Source organism: Homo sapiens, chromosome 6 (assembly GCF_000001405.40).
Source record: "Homo sapiens chromosome 6, GRCh38.p14 Primary Assembly".
Classification (NCBI taxonomy): domain Eukaryota; kingdom Metazoa; phylum Chordata; class Mammalia; order Primates; family Hominidae; genus Homo; species Homo sapiens.
Genome location: NC_000006.12, coordinates 137,647,309 through 137,664,806, shown reverse-complemented (window position 1 = coordinate 137,664,806; position 17,498 = coordinate 137,647,309). Strand labels below are relative to the sequence as shown.

General features: G+C 40.3%; 4 annotated features.

The window, feature by feature from the left end:
* Positions 11,346–11,862: an enhancer, noted in NCBI's record as "NANOG hESC enhancer chr6:137974082-137974598 (GRCh37/hg19 assembly coordinates)". NCBI's record gives its function as "activates a minimal SCP1, AML or CMV promoter by ChIP-STARR-seq in primed H9 embryonic stem cells {active_cell/tissue: H9 hESC(primed)}" and the evidence as "EXISTENCE:reporter gene assay evidence [ECO:0000049][PMID:30033119]".
* Positions 13,912–14,081: an enhancer, noted in NCBI's record as "experimental_90442 CRE fragment used in MPRA reporter constructs". NCBI's record gives its function as "activates a minimal promoter by MPRAs in K562 erythroleukemia cells, with activity observed for the introgressed 6:137971948 variant allele {active_cell/tissue: K562}" and the evidence as "EXISTENCE:reporter gene assay evidence [ECO:0000049][PMID:34662402]".
* Positions 16,535–16,624: a silencer, noted in NCBI's record as "silent region_17585". NCBI's record gives its function as "represses an Ori minimal core promoter by ATAC-STARR-seq in GM12878 lymphoblastoid cells {active_cell/tissue: GM12878}" and the evidence as "EXISTENCE:reporter gene assay evidence [ECO:0000049][PMID:35858748]".
* Positions 16,645–16,694: a silencer, noted in NCBI's record as "silent region_17584". NCBI's record gives its function as "represses an Ori minimal core promoter by ATAC-STARR-seq in GM12878 lymphoblastoid cells {active_cell/tissue: GM12878}" and the evidence as "EXISTENCE:reporter gene assay evidence [ECO:0000049][PMID:35858748]".

Sequence of the window (17,498 nt, the reverse complement as noted above, 5' to 3'; positions counted from 1 at the left end):
AGAAGACAGCCCCAGAGACCACCTTGTGTGGACAAGTATATATTCCTCTAACTTCTACACCTTCCAGAATGATAGGAACACTAAATACTGATAATATTGTGGCTCACTGAGCTGCAGAAATTTGGCAGAACTTTTGTCTGTGGAAATGATAAAATTGACACGAAAATTTGGAGGGAGAAAAGTGCTTCATGATTTGGAGATCAATTTATAAAAAAAAGTTTTTAAACAGAAAAAGAAATTCACAAAGTATCCTCTCTAGGGTTTCTCTAAACACAGAAATTCCATTGAGTACGTTTTTCCACACTGGCCTTTGTTCGGTGCTTTGTTTCTGTGGAGAGGCTGCAGGAACTGCTGTGGGGCTGAAATGGGTCCTGACTTCAAACTGAACAGCGTATTCAAGATTTTGTTTGAATATGACTCGCTACCAAAAAAGAAAGTTTGGAAATCACTGACGTAGCACTGTTTTTATATCATCTATTACATAAGCAGGACACACTGATTTTAGAATCACAGTAACCATCAATGTTCCCAATTGCCCATGTGGGGAAAAAATGTCATTCTCAAGAACTTTGGCTTTGAATGGGTGGTTGGGAGCCCACTGGGACTAGAGCTTAGTTCCAACCTTTCTGATTTACTTAAATTGTCCTGTAAGAAGATATCATGATGAAATTTAGTTTCTATCCAACAGACGGCAGTGGTAAAACTGTTAGCTTGGAAGGGATGTCGCCCTGAAGGACTGAGTACTGAGGATGGGCATGGTAAGTTTGGAAGCAGGAAATGAGCATAAATGTCATTTGGCTCTTTCTTTTTGCCTAGAACCAAATAGCCACATTGTTTTGTTCAGTACCCAGAGGTTCAATACCACTCTTTTCTTGCTTTTCACTCATCAGCTTAGCCACCCACCTATACTGCCTTCTTTTTATACTGGAAATAGGAGTTTTCTCTTTGAGATCCAGGTTAACCGCTGCCCAGAAGGCCCCAAGACTCTGATGAGCAATGCACCCTCGATGTGACTGCTCTCTCCCGGGCTTTGGGATGCATGTAAGGTTCTCTGGAAGACAGGATGGGAACTGTGCTGGCCCTTGCACATCACTATTTACAACTTTAGGCTTCAGTTCAGTCATGAAAGAAGCATTAAATTTGCAAATGGTAGTAAGCTCTGCCTAATGAAAGATGGCATCAATTAAACAACATTGTGTGTGTTTAACCTATAAAATCTCTTAGAACACAAAAACAAAGATCACAATAAAAACTTCTAACATTAATATCATGCATAAATATTTACTATTTAATATAACAAAGATATTTCCTTAAAAAGCCCTAAGGAATTTTGAAATTAGGCATCACATGCTCATTTTTCTATACATTACAATTTTTTTTTAATAGTAGAATGAATGATGGCTGTGAAGAGGCAACTCAGTTGGGATTCCCAAATCCCCAGATTCCACGCCTGGCTCTGCTGTCAATGAGGGTGTGTTTCTTATTCTTACTGAGTCAGTTTCCCTCCAACTTGAAAAATTTAAGAGTCTATAATTACTGATTCTCATGTCTTAAGTGTGGACTAAGTAGCTTAATCCAACACAGATAGTTGGAACTTCACATTAATGTTACTTTAGAGTAGCGGTTAACAAACTGGACTCATGGGTCATGTTTAGTTCTTTGCCTGTTTTGGTAAATAAAATTTTATTAAAACAACCACACCTAGTCATTTATACATTGTCTAGAGCTGCTTTCCCAGTACATCGGTAAAGTGGAATAGTTGCAACGAGAGCTTGTGTCCCACAAAGCCTAAAATATTTATCCTTTGCAGAAAAAGTTTGCTCACTGCTGCTTTAGAGAAATTAAATGTGATTCTTTAAATGAATCATCAATAACAAAGAACTTATTTCATCTCCCTACTAAAAGATTATAGAATGATCAGAAAAGGAAATCAAGAGAAATAGAAGCATTGAGTCAACCAGATGAGAACCCAGCTACAATCTTTACTGCCAGTTGAATATTGCTTCATACGTTATTATTATCATTATTAATATTATTAGTAGTAGTACTTGAGATGGAGTCTCACTTTATCACCCAGGTTGGAGTGCAGTGGTGTATGATCTTGGCTCACTGCAACTTCCACCTCCTGGGTTCAAGTGATTCTCCTGCCTCAGCCTCCCAAGTAGCTGGGATTACAGGTGCACACCACCACGCCTGGCTAATCTTTGTATTTTTAGTAGAGATGGGGTTTCACCATGTTGGCCAGGCTGGTCTTGAGCTCCTGACCTCAGGTGATCTGCCCACCTTGGCCTTACAAAGTGCTGGGATTGCAGGTGTGAGCCACCGCACTTGGCCATTTCATACATTATTAATTGAAAAAAGGATAAAGAAGTAAAATATTTAATTTTTGTTATTTCTTTTTCTCGAGTTTAATCACATTTCTTTTAGGCTTGAACTAACATTTGTAGGAAGAAAGTCAGTAGTTGCATAGAACGGGGGCATGCATTTGGTTTTCATTTCATTATTAGCTTCCCCTTACCTGTGGCCCTTCCAAGGGTTCTGTCCCTGGTGCTCCTTTTTGCAATCTCTCCAAATAGGAGTTACAATTCTAAGAACACATTAAGCCTTCTCCCAGTCATTGTATAAATTCAAGATGTTCTTCTTTCATTTGACTGAAAACACAATTTAAGCATCAGCTTCTTGGTTACCTGCCTCTGGACAAAACAGTACCTCAAGCCTACTAGAGACTACATATCTGCTGCATGTATCATGGGTTGTGACTTTTTTTCTAAATAGCAGATCTTCCACGGCAGGGCCAATGTCTCTGCAGTTTGCTTACCCTTTCCCCATCTTCACAACATGAATGCTTGAGTTGTGGGTTCAAGACAGGAAAAATGGGACAGGTGGCGCCTTATCAATTCCCCTTTAATAAGAAATCCGAAAGCTTTCTCTGAAGCTTTCAGCAGGTTAAGGTTTCTTCTCATTGGCTAGACCTGTATCTCCCGGCTCCACCTAGTGGCTAGCATGTTTTCCTGGGGACATCCCTGCCCTAACAAAATTGGGGTTTTGTTAGCACCTGAGAAATGAGAGAAGGGATCAAGGGAAGGCAACTAACAGCATAGACCACAAAATCGTAGAACTCATCTTGGATAAAGTGAATCACATAGACAAATGTGGATATAAAAATAATTTTTTGGCCAGGCGAGGTGGCTCACTCCTGTAATCCCAGCATTTTGGGAGGCCAAGGTGGGTTGATCACAAGGTCAAGAGATCGAGATCATCCTGGCCAAAATGGTGAAACCCCGCCTCTACTAAAAACACAAAAATTAGCTGGGCGTGGTGGTGCGGGCCTGTTGTCCCAGCTGCTCATGAGGCTGAGGCAGGAGAATCGCTGGAACCTGGGAGGCAGAGGTTGCAGTGAGCCAAGATCGTGCCACTGCACTTCAGCCTGGCGACAGAGCGAGACTCTGCCTCAAAATAATAATAATAATAATAATAACGATAATTTTTTGCCCAGTCCTTTGGGAGGCCAGGGGTTTGAGAACAGCTTGGGCAACATATCAAGACACCATCTCCACAAAACAATAAAAGTTAGCCGGGCATGGTGGTGTGAGCCTGTAGTTCTAGCTACTTGGGAGGCTGAGGTGGGAGGATCACTCGAGCCCAGGAGTTCAAGTCTGTAGTGAGCTATGATTGTGCTTGTGCACTCCAGCCTGGGCAACAGAGTGAGACCCTGCCTCCAGTAATTTTTTATATTGTGTTTAATGTTATGGGAATTATTCACTAACCCAACAAATATTTGTTAAACACCCAAAATGTTATAGGTCTAAAAACTCTTCTCTGGATCCATTTTGATTCAAAATGATCTAACCTAAACCAAATAATGAAGGTATATTTTAATATTCTTTATAGCATACCACATTGGTCAAAACCAGTCAATTCTTTTCACAGTTATGTTTAATGAAAGAAAACACATAGAAAAACAAAGATGTTGAGTAATGAGGTGGAAACAGAGCCCCACCCCACCCCCCGCCAATTCACTAGATCAATTAATGACTGAAAAGGCTTTTCCTAAAATTTAAAAACAAATTGACTTGAGACTGAGATTAAGGTTGAAAGGAAAGGCCCTTCTCCCTCTCAGTCTTTGGCGGTGAAACAAAGAGATCAGTTGGAATTTCACAGAATTAATGGGATAGCTCTTGTTTTCTGATCAATAATGAATAACCTGGATGAAATAAAACTCTCTTCTTTGCTAAGGTGCTTTTTCTCCCTTTTGATGAACTAATAATCATTTACCTGCAGCAATGCAGATTTATTAGCACAGAAATGTTATTCATGTTCAGAAAGAACAATGCATTAAAAATAGGAACAGAAAGAGGTGGACTAAGCAGATGGTATTCTGGACTTTGAGCCCCAGAGTAAAAATTTAACCCTCTATTGTCACAACCTCCAAGGGACTATCCAACTCCTTTTATTTCACTGGAATTCAATTGTATTGACTGTTTTCAAATAAATGGGTAATTGACTGAGGATCAAAAATCTTTTGTGATATGTTGAAGACTTTTACCACAAAGTTTTTTTTTTTTAACAGAATTCAATCGGCCTGTTAGAGATTGGAATAGTCAAAACAAAGAAAATTCCCAAGGATTCCAGGATTCTGTGTCACACACTGTTGTCTAGATCTCTAGGTTTTGTTACCTTAACTGTTTAAAGTCTTTCCCAGGTACAGTGTGAATGGAGCATAGAGGATTGTTTTCCACAACCCCCTGGTTAATCATACAGCATTCTTATCACTAGGGTTCTGGGAATCAGGTGGAGTCAGGAACCAGAACATTGCTGGGAGGTGGCAAGGCACCTGACGAGCCTTTAAAAACTACCAATGCCTGCCCCTCGACAGCTTGGTGAATGTGGTCAATTTCATCAGCTAAAAGAATAAGAATTTTTAATAAAATCATAAAGGTATTAACTGATTGAAACATAAAGGCCTCCTTTTATGCATACAATTTCCTTCTATAACATACCTGGAAAGTAGTCAGGAAAACATTGAACACCAGCAATCATAGGAATTTAATTATTTCTCAAAACAACTCGTTTAATTTTCTAGCAAATTTAGTAGTTTGGAATATTATTTTTAAATTAATACCTATCTATTTTCCTTTAATTCATGCAGTGTCCAAGTTCTGCCCTTTCAAAACAGGAAAAGTAAATCTTAGCTTCTACATCTCAGCCCTTCAGTTGTTTAATGGCACACATCCACCTTTCTTAAATAAATCCTGGATATTTGCATAATCACTTTTTAGATAGCTGAGTTTCAAATCCCATCACTGTCCTGGATACATTTCTAAAGGAAAAGCTCCTAATGGTCAATATTTAATTTAAAGCAGTGGCTAGGGTTCTGATTTAGTTGTTTTGGGTTAGGGCTCAGAGACATTGGTAGTCATCTAAGCTCCCCAGGTGATTCTAATTTGCAGCCAGGGATGAGACTCCCTGAAGGTTAGTGGCCCAGCTCTGGACTTGGACCCTCTGGTGAGAGGTCCCTTGGAAAGAGCTTCAAATAGGCAAATGAAATTGCTACTTTTCTTGTTCTAGACACAAATTCTGGTAGGCAATCCAAGTCACACATGCAATGTTAGTGACAGTTAGATACACTCTGGCTCACATGGAGCTTAAGGTCAGTCCAAACACTTAGATATTTGTCCCATGAATTTCCATTAAGTTACACCTTCCTGGTTTTGTATATGTGAAGCTGATCTTTGACTCTAAGTCTGGAGTTTTTTGGTTTTTCCTTTTGTTTGGTTTTACTTATTGCCTGTAACTATATTAGTAGTTGTATCAAAGAAAATAATAGCTGAGCGCTAAACATGGCCTATGTGTGGGGCTAAATGCATTGTCATTTAATCCATTATTTTATTGAATCTCCACAGCAATCCTATGGGAATGATAATCTCACGATCCCCCATTTCACAGCTGAGAAAACTGAGACCTAGACAACAGATTAGATTGGGTCCGTCACGCTAGTCTGTAAAAGCCCTTTGAGGATTCTAATTCTGTCACACTGGTGTAAAATTTTTTCTATATGTATAGCCTCCTTCCTACCGCAAATGTCAGCTTTTCATCAGCACCCACAGATGTGATCTCTGTACCATATAAATCCCCTTCAGTTAGCTGTGAAAATGTGGAACAGGAGGGAGTCTCAGTGCTGAGTCTGACCATGAGAGACCTCCAACCAGGATCCTTTAACCTGCATGTTAGAGCTACATCAGTGCAAGCAACTCATACCCATCAACATAGGCATATTTTCCCCACTGTCTGCAAGGATGTCATGGGACTCTAGGTCAATGCCATGCTAAATCTCTATTCACTGCTGTTACTTCTCCAGTAAACCCATCAGTCAAGGCAATGAGCACTGTCCAGATGCACGTGCTCTAATGAACCAGATGCTCCCTCCCAGAAATCATTATGTCTCCCCAGGGTCACCATGTCATTACATCACAGACCATCCTTTTAATACATTTCCCTAGAATTTTATCTAATACCAATATCAGTCTTGCTGATCTATAGTCTGCAGAGTCCAAATCAATATGTTATGTGCTACTTTTTTTCTTTTTTGAGTATCTCCCTTGCTCTATGTGCTACTAAAAGATCATTTTTGGCAGTTAAGAAACCACTTCTCTCTGTTTTCACTCTAATGTGCCTGAGCCACAGAGAACTGACTACATTTGATAGGCTCCATTTGATTAGTGTTATATTTTCCAAAAATTCCCAACAAATCTTGGATTTCCATTGACTTACCTTTCTCTCTCTGAACAGCCTTCTCTACAGAAAATACTGAACTGGGGATGATCTGCTTTCTGTCTGATATCTGTCAACATTACCTCACTTGCTCCAGGCAGTAGGCAAATTGCTTCCTTGTTCTTCTTGCTCAAATAAAACTTAAAACCCCCATTGTAATTTCCCTTCACATTTTCCTAATATTGAGTTTTGTATCCTTTTCAAGTCTTAGCTTATTCTGGGTGGTAGCCTTCCTGACACCTTAAGCTCATAATTGCATGCTAAGTAAACATTTGAACCAAAACTATGAATACAAAGCTAAATAATGAGTCAGATAGAAATTCCAACATCAAGACGAAATGTGTTATCTGTACAATCTTTCTTCTTTTATGAACAGGTGGACCACCTCCATACCAAATTCAAAATATCTTACTATGAAGTCACTTTTCTCAGAACTTTCTGAGAAAGTTCAGAGAAGTATGCAAGTATCATTTTTCTTTGTTTTACATGCAAAGAAACAGATCCACCAAATTCTTCCAGAAGCTAGAGAGTGACCAGGGTCATGAGTCACCTGCATATATTTTTGAGTTGAGGGCTCTTTGCAACCATCTCAGCTGATTCTCAGCCACATCCAGCCACATCCAGCAACTGACTAAAACAGCACCTGTCTTTCTAACTGACATAATGAGAAAGAATTACAAGCAAAGCTGACAAGAATGATTCTGTTCTTCCAGGAGCTGAGGGCAACAACAAGAAACCTTATAGGCCACTGTGGTATAACAAAGACTTGGGAAAGCCTACTTATTGTACTGGAAAGTGTTTTATTCCAGAAAGTTATATTGCTATCACTTATGTTTCTGATGTCCTTTCTGATGTCCTCTTATCACCAGCCAAACCCAGGAATTTGGGGATGGCGCTGTTGTAGGAATTTTTCCTTAGTTCAGCTAAAGACAGGGTCCTTGTCACATGAACACAAAAAATTAGGCTTGCAGACAATTTGAGGAGGGCAGGGTTTTTTTGGTGGAAAGGAAAAAAACTCAGCAAAGAGAGAGAGGTTCCTGTTAACAGGCCCCATCTCAGATTGAATACCCAGGTTGCCACACCGGATGAGGAGAGGCCAGGCTCCCCTCTTGCAAACAGCGTGAACTTCCTGAAGCTCCATGCCAGTGCGCACTCCTCCCAGTGTGCAGACCGGTTGGAGTTTTTCTGGGTCCCTCTCCTATTTGGCTGTCTCATTCCCCCTCTGAAGAAGTACATCTAACTGCCTTTAAAAGAAGGATAAGATCAAAGACCAATCTTAACTGCTTTCTACTGACAAGGGACATTGTTTTGGGGAAAATGGCCATCAGAGCTCCCTCAGAGGCCTATCTAAGGGAGCCTGGCAGAATGGGCCATTGTCCAAGGCTCCAGTTGCATGACCATTTGGAGTTTGATGGACTGAAGGGGAGAAGAGAAAAACTGGATTATTAGAAAATATGTATCAAAATAAAACAAGGCCGGGGCCGGGGGGCGGGTTAAGGACAACTTAAAAATTCTGAGGCCTTTTACCAGTTTGCACAGGGAGCGGGAGGCCAAAAGCCCAACTGGTGAAAAAAACTTTACCCTTTTGCCAGCATGTTGGGCTTCTGGGTTCCCTTCACCTGAGCCCTGTCCTAAGCCAACCAGTTTGAGGTTTGGGAAATTAACTTTCCCCAGTTTGGAGAATGCATTTGAGGGGAGTGTCCCATAGTACAGAGACACAATTACCCATCAATGAGGAGAGGACAGAGGAGGAAAAAGGAAAGAAGAAAGCATTTTTTTCCAAAGGAGTCCCACGGATTCAAGATGCATTTGAAAGGGATACAGACTGAAGATGAATGGCTACCCACCTAGAAAGAGCAGAACAGGTGTCCCTGGTTCCCTTCTTTTCCTAGCAAATACCAGGATACATGAGGGAGAAAAAGAAGAACATCCTCTTTCCCTCCTCCATCCTTGCATCCCCAAGTCCCAGCAACCTTGGCAGGTGCTGCCCATTGGTGCCAAAGCAGCTTACACTCATGAAGAAGGGAAGGCCTAGAGAATAGGAATTATCTGCTTTTATCTATGTCTCTTTTTCCCCTACATCAGCAGCCTTGGAATTCACTAGACCCCATTTATACCATGGATACTAGCATGATCCTTATCCATGAAATGGAAGGCTTGGCTTAATCGGCAGGAATTAGCCATGCTCACCTGCACTGTGTCTGATAGGACTGAGTTGTTTGCAAAAATAGACTTTAGTTTTATATATGGCCTGATTATTTGCATAAATTGCAGCAAGAATAACTATTTCTACATAGACCTTTTAGATTGGCTTTGATGGAATTCTGTTCCACAAGGAATCTCAGATGATATCTTTTAAAGCCAAGCCCAACCATGGTTTTATATCCACAAATAACTGTGAGTTGGGTGATCCATTCCTCTTAAGGTCCCAAGATAAACTTGGAGATCCTTGGCCAGTTAGAAAGTGACATTCTTTACTGATCACAGGTCAGGAACCCTGTACAGGGACTGCGTAGACAAGGGTATGAGGACAGTTTTTCCTGCGGGGTTTTATCAGCTCTGCAAGTCAAGCTTGACTCCTCAAAGAGAAGCATACCCTTATAATCAAACCCTTGGTAAAACAACTGGTTTCTCCACTTGCATCCTGTTGCAAAAGAAAAATGGATTCTTACTGCACTGATGCAAACAACTATATTGCCATAAGTTAAGAATACTCACAGATAGTTTCCAAATTCTAGAGGAACCAGGCAGAGAGAGAGAGAGACAAATAGGCTCCAAATTTTGTTCACAGGAGTATAGCTTACTCAGTTATTAAAGGCTGTAAATACTTCAAAATAAGTTTTCTTAACCCTGAAAAACAAAACGGGGATCAGCAATATTCCAACAAAAGTTAAAAAGATTGTTTCAGTTTTGAGTTCAGTCCATTAGTTCTAGTTTTGCTTGATATTCATGAACACTTCAGCTCTTCATGAGTCATGTACATTTTTCCTTTATTCCAATGTTACAATCTCCAAAGTTATCAGAAACCTGTATTTGAGAGGACCTGTCAAAGTTCTATAGCTCAGTATAAACCATCTTTTGAAAAGCATTAAAACAAGACAACCATTGTCTGTGAATAACAAAATGTCCAGGGTAGTTACAGTTAGAAACACAATTGACAAAGAAGTTTGGTTATCTCTGTGATTTACAATAACCTAACATACCAACCTTAATTATGATTGATAGCATATACTCAGACATTAGAATTGTAGAAATCCCATATAATTTTGAGCATATGCTAGCATTACTCACAAAAATATTACCTAAAGTATATTGAACATCATTTTGGCAGTCCCATGTACCTAAACATGTTTACCTCTCTTTTCTGGACACTCCAGGGGCCCTCTGAAGTATCTGAAAAGCCAGGAGTCAGGAAAGACAATTTCGGAACCAAAGTTTGATTTTTGGGAAGCCTGTTAAATTTGTTAGAGGTTTAAAACACTTGATGTTATAAAACAGTATTCCAGGTCACCATAAATTATTTATTTTGCCAAAATGATGACTCAGAAATTTTAAAGAGGCAAAAGCCTTTTATAAACCTTTACAAATTTTGCTAAAGAGCAGATTAGCACCTTAAGAATACCTTGTTGTGCTTTTATTTCAATGCTCAATTTACAGAATAACTTTTTTGAATTTAGTCAATATGTTCACACAGAGAAACTATTCTGTAAGATTAATGTCCACAATCCTTCCACCACTTGTTTTAACCTTTAGCTTTATCTTGTCTAATTCAAAACAATCCTTTACTCCTAGGCAAAAATTTACAATTTCGTGCCTTTTTATAATCTTTTACTAAAAACACATTTTACTGTTTTCACACACTTTGCATGTAAATCTATTTCCAATAGTTTCAATTATATGTTATAATGGTAACTCCTAGCAGTTTTTAACTTTAATGTAAAACCTGGTAAGTTGTTTTAATTGTGTGCTAGGTGCAGCCAAGGTTTGACTTCTTCCAGCGTAATTAAGGGTGTGGTTAGTTTCATATGTCCCCTGGCATTACCAATTGTGAAGCTGACAAATTGAAACATTCTCAAAAACCAAAAAGGCAGTTTATAACCTTAAAACATTTAGCAACTCTAGTATCTAACCTGCATAATTTAGTCCACCTATTTATATTTTGATGACATCTGCATTTTACCAATAACCTTTACGACTGCCTTATTTCTCAAAGATTAAAGTCGCTTGAACTGAAAGTTACCACAGCTTTTATCTTCCCTTAAAAAAATACTTGATTCAAGTGCTTGTCTTCCTTTAGGCCAAATTAATTAGAGCTCTTTTTACAGACATCATATACATAACACATATATAGCTACACAGACAGGCAGAAGAAAACCCAGTCGCTGGGTGGAGCCCTTTAAGAGACAGGGCTAGGAAAATGTGCAGATATCAAACCAGAAAGGACTCATTCCCTAGGCAGGATTGCTAAACAAAGCCTTGCCATGTGGTTACAGGCCACACCCTCAGGACATATGCCCTCAGGACATAAAACAAGATGGAGGTGTGCAGCAAAGTTTGCTACTGACCACACAGACATGCAAAGCATACCACATTGGCTACAGCTTAAGACCAACCTCACAAATCCTTTTTCACAATTAAAACTTTACAGAGAATATAAACATAATTAGTCCACATAAATAGGTGGACTAAATTATGATAATGATCCTTATCATTCCTAGCCTAAGAAAATGTCTTCTAAAAGGAAAAATAAACTCATTTAAAAGTTAACTGCTGATGGAGTGGAGAAGAAAAAGGGATGCCTGGGGGAAAAACCTCTTATTCTTATGCAAATAGTTCCTCCACCCTAGAGAGAAGCTTAATTGCTGTCTGATGGGGTTGGACTCCCTGGCTGGGGGAGGGGGAGACTCCATGGGTGCCTGGCAGGGAATACCGCCAGCTGCATGGGATCCCTTGGGGCTCAGGCAGCTGCTGTGGCTCATTCCCACCCTTGGCTCATTCCATTGTTAATGGCTGTTGGACACTGTGCATACATGCGGCAGACTCAGCCATGCACCCCAGACAGTAGAGAATGGGGAGCAGGGAGCTGCCCCACCCAACTGTCCCATACACATGCCTGTGGCCATTGGGGTGTGTGTGAACCACCTCCAGTATTGTAAAAAAAAAAAAAGTTTTCATGTCATTAATGTCCTGAAAAAAAGAAGAGGAATGCCATAGGACCAAAAGGCTCAGAAGCGAATGTGAGAGGTTTTGAGTCCCCATTTCACTCACCCCTTCTCAAGCCCTATGTTCTGGGCACCAAAGCTGTTGTAGGACTTTTTCCTTAGTTGAGCTAAAGACAGCGTCCTTGCCACATGACCAAGAAAAATTAATCTCACAGACAGTTTGAAGGGTGAGGAGGGTAGTGTTTTATTGGGTGAAAAGGAAAAAAACTCAGCAAAGTGAGAGAGGCTCCCCATCTCACAGACTGAGTCCCCAGGTTATCACACTGGATCAGGAGAGGCCAGCCAGGCTCTTCCTCCCCTGCAAATGGCGCAAACTTCCTGAGGCTCCGCCCCAGTGCACACTCCTCACAGTGCACAGGCCAGTTGGAATTTCTCCGGGGACCCCTTTATACTTGGCTGTCTTGGTGAGTCACTTTGTAGGCCAAATAACTGAAAGGTCTTCAATCAATACAAAGACTTGAGATAGTAAATATAAAGCTTCAGGCAGATTATTTCAGTAGATTGTGGCTTCTGCTCTCCAAATATAAGGTTAGAGGGTCATATGGCATGATGAACAAAGCCCCTTCTAGGTAAAACACACTGTCAGTCAGTGCCAGCATTGCCCACAGAATTCCTGTCCCTATCTCTCTGCCATCCCACACCACGCCACATCATCCTTGGCCTATTCTCCCCTACAGGACTTTGCATGTGGCATGCAGACAGTCTCCCTTTTCATTTGTTTTCTAAGGCATTATGTGATCACCCAGAGAAGGAGTAAGCTTCATTCAGGTTCCTGTCCTTCTACTTTGGGCCCCAGAATCTGGTCTGCTGTCCATGGATTCAGGGAGTGACAAGGGGATAATGCCTGCTAAGACATTCTCATCTTCAGTTGAGGTGTCCTTTTTTTTTCATTTAAGAATTTTTTTTTATTGAAGTGCAGAAAGTTGCACATATTCGTTGCATACCACTCAACAAATTTTAATCAACTGACCCATCACCTGATTAAGCAATAGACAATTACCTGTACCTGGCAACTCCCTACCTGCTCTTTCAAACCTTCCCCACCCCCGCAACAAAGGTCAGCACTACCTGTGTTGTAACCGAGCGAGTTATAGAGAAACACCACACTTTGAGACTAATTCAGGAGTCCTTTATTGCCGGGGACCGAGAGACGACTAGAGCTCAAAAATTCTCTCAGCCCCGAAGAAGGGGCTAGATTTCTTTTTATACCTTGGTCTAAATAGGGGAGGGGGAGTCTAGCTGAAGCAATTTTTACAAAAGCAGAACAGGCAAAAAGTAAAAGATAAATGGTTACAGAAACTGTTACAGGAAAATAAAAAGTTCCAGGTGCAGGGGCTTAAGCTATCACAAAGTGATAAACGCAGGGGCTTTGGGTACCATCAACCAAGCACGTTTCCAGGAGTGGGTAGTACAGCTTGCCTCAGTATCTTATCAGTAAGCAATTCCTGGATGTACTTGGAGTTAGCTTGCACCAGTTATGTCCTTAAGCAGGGGGAACGAGGGGCTGCAAGCGAAGAAACCAAAGTGGAGTCTGTCCTGCTCTCTCAGATAAGAGAGAGTCAATCAGGTTAAAACAAGGTAGGGTATCACACCTGGACTTCTCCCAGCACAGATTTGTTTGATCTGCTTTTGAACTTTGTATAAATGGACTCAGACAGCTTACATGTTTTTGTGTCTTGCTTCTTTTTTCAACAATATGATTGTGAGATTTATCCATCTGTTGCATACAGTAGTAAATTGTTTATTCTCATTGCTGGATCATATTCCATTTGATTAATATTTCTGATTACTTTATTCCTTCCACTATTAATGTCAATGGGAAGCTTCCAGTTCAGGTCTATTACAAATAGCACTGCTATAAATAAATACTCCTCTTTTTAGGTGATCACATGTTCCTATTTCTGTTGGGTGAGCACCTAGGAATAGAATTGCTAGGTCATAGGCTATGCATAAGTTCAGCTTTAGTAAATATTGTTTGTTTTTTCACTTCTTTCTCCTCCTCCTTCTCCCTTTTCTTCCTTAAGCATCTTTTTGACAACAACAACAACAAAAAAAACCCATGCATGCTGGCCTCATAGCCTCATGTTTATAGATAAACTGCCACCAGCTTGATTGCCGAAATTAGCCAGCCTCAGGCTATTCTCCTGCCGTTTTGAAAAGGCCAGCTCCTTTTCACTCTCTCATCCTGCAGGGTAAAGTGGCCATCAGCCTTGTACATATTTCATGTTAGCTTAAGGGTCTCTATTGCTGATCCTGAACTTTGCAGAGACAAAATTCTGCTAAAAGATAGATGGATAGAGAGAGAGAGACAGAGATGATAGATAGACAGGTAGATAGATAGATAGATAGATAGATAGATAGATAGATAGATAGAATATATAATCTATAAATTATATATACTGTTATATATGTGTATATATACACATGTATATATACACTTATGTATACACACCTAGATAGGTAGATAGAATATATATCTATATATTATACTAGAATATGTACTAAGTTATATATGTATATATACCTATGTATACACACATAGATAGAATATATAATCTATATATTACATATACTAAATTATATATGTGTATATATACACGTGTATATATGCATATGTAAACACACATAGGTAGAGAGATAGATAATAGGTATAATATATATCTATATATTATAACATATACTAAGTTATGTATATGTGTTTGTGTGCATATATATATGTGTATATATATATATGTATAGATAGATAGATAGATAGGCATCAAGAGGCTCTGAGTTTGAATCCTCCTTCCATTCTTTGTTACTGAGTGACCTTGAGCAAGTCAGTCAACTGCTGTTTTCTCCCTTTTCTTATCTGTACATTTAGATTAATAATAATTCCAACATCACAGGTTACCTATGAGGATAGTAATATATAATACATGTAAAATGCTTAACACCGAGGCTGGCAGGCAGGCATCTCAGAGACATCAGTAAGGAAGTGTAACTTCCCAAAGGCACCTGTGTTCAGGTTAGCGATCATTTCAGTTCCCATACTCATACCCAGTGGGTGAACTTTTACTTATCTATGCTGTGAGGCTATCTTGGGGAAATGAAAAGGGGTAAGGGAGAGTCTGCCCTGGAAGTAAATTCAACTCAGGCAGAAATGGTTTATAACTTTTAAATGGCAATTTTTTTCAAGTTTTAAAAAATATTAGAGTACAGTCCCAGTGAGTACACATTATTAAAACATGTGAAAGGTGGGAGAACAGAGAGAGAGAGCACAAGAGTGAGAGCAGTTATTAGAATAGTTTAATAACCACAAAGGAGCCCTATGAAATTGACTGAAGGCCGAGGTGGGTTGGATTGCTTGAGCCTAGGAATTCAAGACCAGCCTGGGCAACATGGCAAAACCCCATTTCTACAAAAAATACAAAAATTTGCCAGGCATGGTGGCACTCAGAGGCAGTCTCAGCTGCTTGGGAGGCTGGGATGGGAGGATCGCTTGAGCCTGGGAGGCAAAGGTTGCAATAAGCCTAGATCACACCACTGCACTTCAGCCTGGATGACAGAGTAAGACCCTGTCTCAATAAAAAAAAAAAAAAAAAAAAAAAAAAAAAAAAAAAAAAAAAAGGTGACTGAGCTTGGGCCAAGGAGACACCTTGGCAGAGGCCAAACTAGAGTGAAGAGGGGAGAATGTGGCCTTTCTGGTTTAGAATCAGGGCAAACTGCTTATTAGCTGTGTGTTCTTGAACTTTGCACTTTATATCTGTGGAACGAAAACAATCTTATCTTGCTGAGAGAATTGCCTGGCAGCTAAAGTATATGAATTGTTTAGCTTAGCAGGTGTAAAAACTTTATGTGGCCCCTATTTTTAGGTGGAATCACACACACACACACACACACACACACACACACACACACACACAATTCCCTTAATGAGAAAGTAAATAGCCCCATCAGCAGTCTTTCCGTGATGTTTCTAACAGAACATAAGCAGCACTTCCAATGGGACATGGAAAAGACCCAAGTACACAGTGTTTCTCAGAGGCCATACCACAGCTGCAAAAACCATCACTGTTATCTTCCAGGTGCTGGCCACTTTCTAACCAATGATTCTCCACTTTGTTCCTCCTGACTGCTGAACTAAGATCACGGAGACAGCTGAAATGACCACCTTCTGGACCACCTCTGAGGAGCCCCCTCTTCCAGGATCCCTCCTCAGAATTCCCAAACTCCCTCTTGCAGAGATACTCCGTTGGTCCTTTGGCATGTATTTTCCCTTACTGCAGCAAGAAAAATAAATCCAATTTCTTATTCCCCTCTACCTCCTCCTCTTCTTCCTCCTTCCTGTAGGTGCTCCCCTGTTTGTCCTTAGGTGGCAACGTTACCACTAAAGAAGTAACATCTCTCAGTAGACAGAGAGACAGACAAACAGATACATCAACATAGATGGATAGATAGAGATATATGCTCACTTCTATAGATAGAAAGACAGGTATCCATGTGTAGAGAGAGAAACACTTTTAGAAAGAGAAAGACATACTTTGACTTTCAAATCGTTCCAGTTCTCTCTCTACAGCTCTGTGACTCACTTCAGGTCTCACAGTCACCCTTTACTCACGCCAATAACTTTAACAACAGTAACACGATGGTAGAGCACTTACTATGTGTCAGGAACATTCTAAGCCTTCTGCATGTATTAAATCATGTGACCACCACAGTAACCTTATGGAAAAAAAGTGATGCTACTATCCCATCTTACATAGGATGAGACTGGATCACACAAAGGTTAAGGGCACTGCCCTGGGTTGCACAGTTAGTAGGTGGGAGTCTTCACTCTTACCTCCCACTGTCCTGCCCTTACTGCCTTTTGAAGGATGGCATGTCCTGTCCGTGTCGCAGCACAGCACACATACAGACTGCAGAGCCTTCTCAGTTTCTCTCCAGTGGCTCAAAGGTCAAACTTGAAGGGTTTCTACTTGCTCTTTTTCAGCCCTGTGAATGGGTGGTTTCAATGGGATGTATTTTCCTTTAATGTGTGTGTCCTGAAAAATTTCTGCTGCCAGAATCTTTTAAGGAATGTGACACAATATTCCATCATTTTTTCTTCCTCATTTTTCTCTCCCTCTTCTTCCCACTTCCTAATGTCTTTCTTTTTCCTTCTTATATTCTTTCTGGAGGTTGTAAAAGGGATTTTACAAATTTTCCTGCTTCACTTCAGACATGATAGCCCACAGTTTTAAGTACTTGTTATGTGCTGGGTATAGCGCTACATCCTAGGTACCATATCATATATTTTGCAGGGATTATCTCATCTGATCCTCACAACTGCCCCTTGTGAGGTAAACGTTAATATTATTCTCACTTTGCAAGTGAGGAAATGGGAGCAGGTTTCGTTCCTTGTCCAGACCTGAAATAACTAAGTGGCCAAATTAGGGGCAGACCTCTGGACTAACGGGCCCCAAGTCCAGGACTGCAAAGACCTCACTCATCACCACTACACACTACAACTCAAACAACTCAATT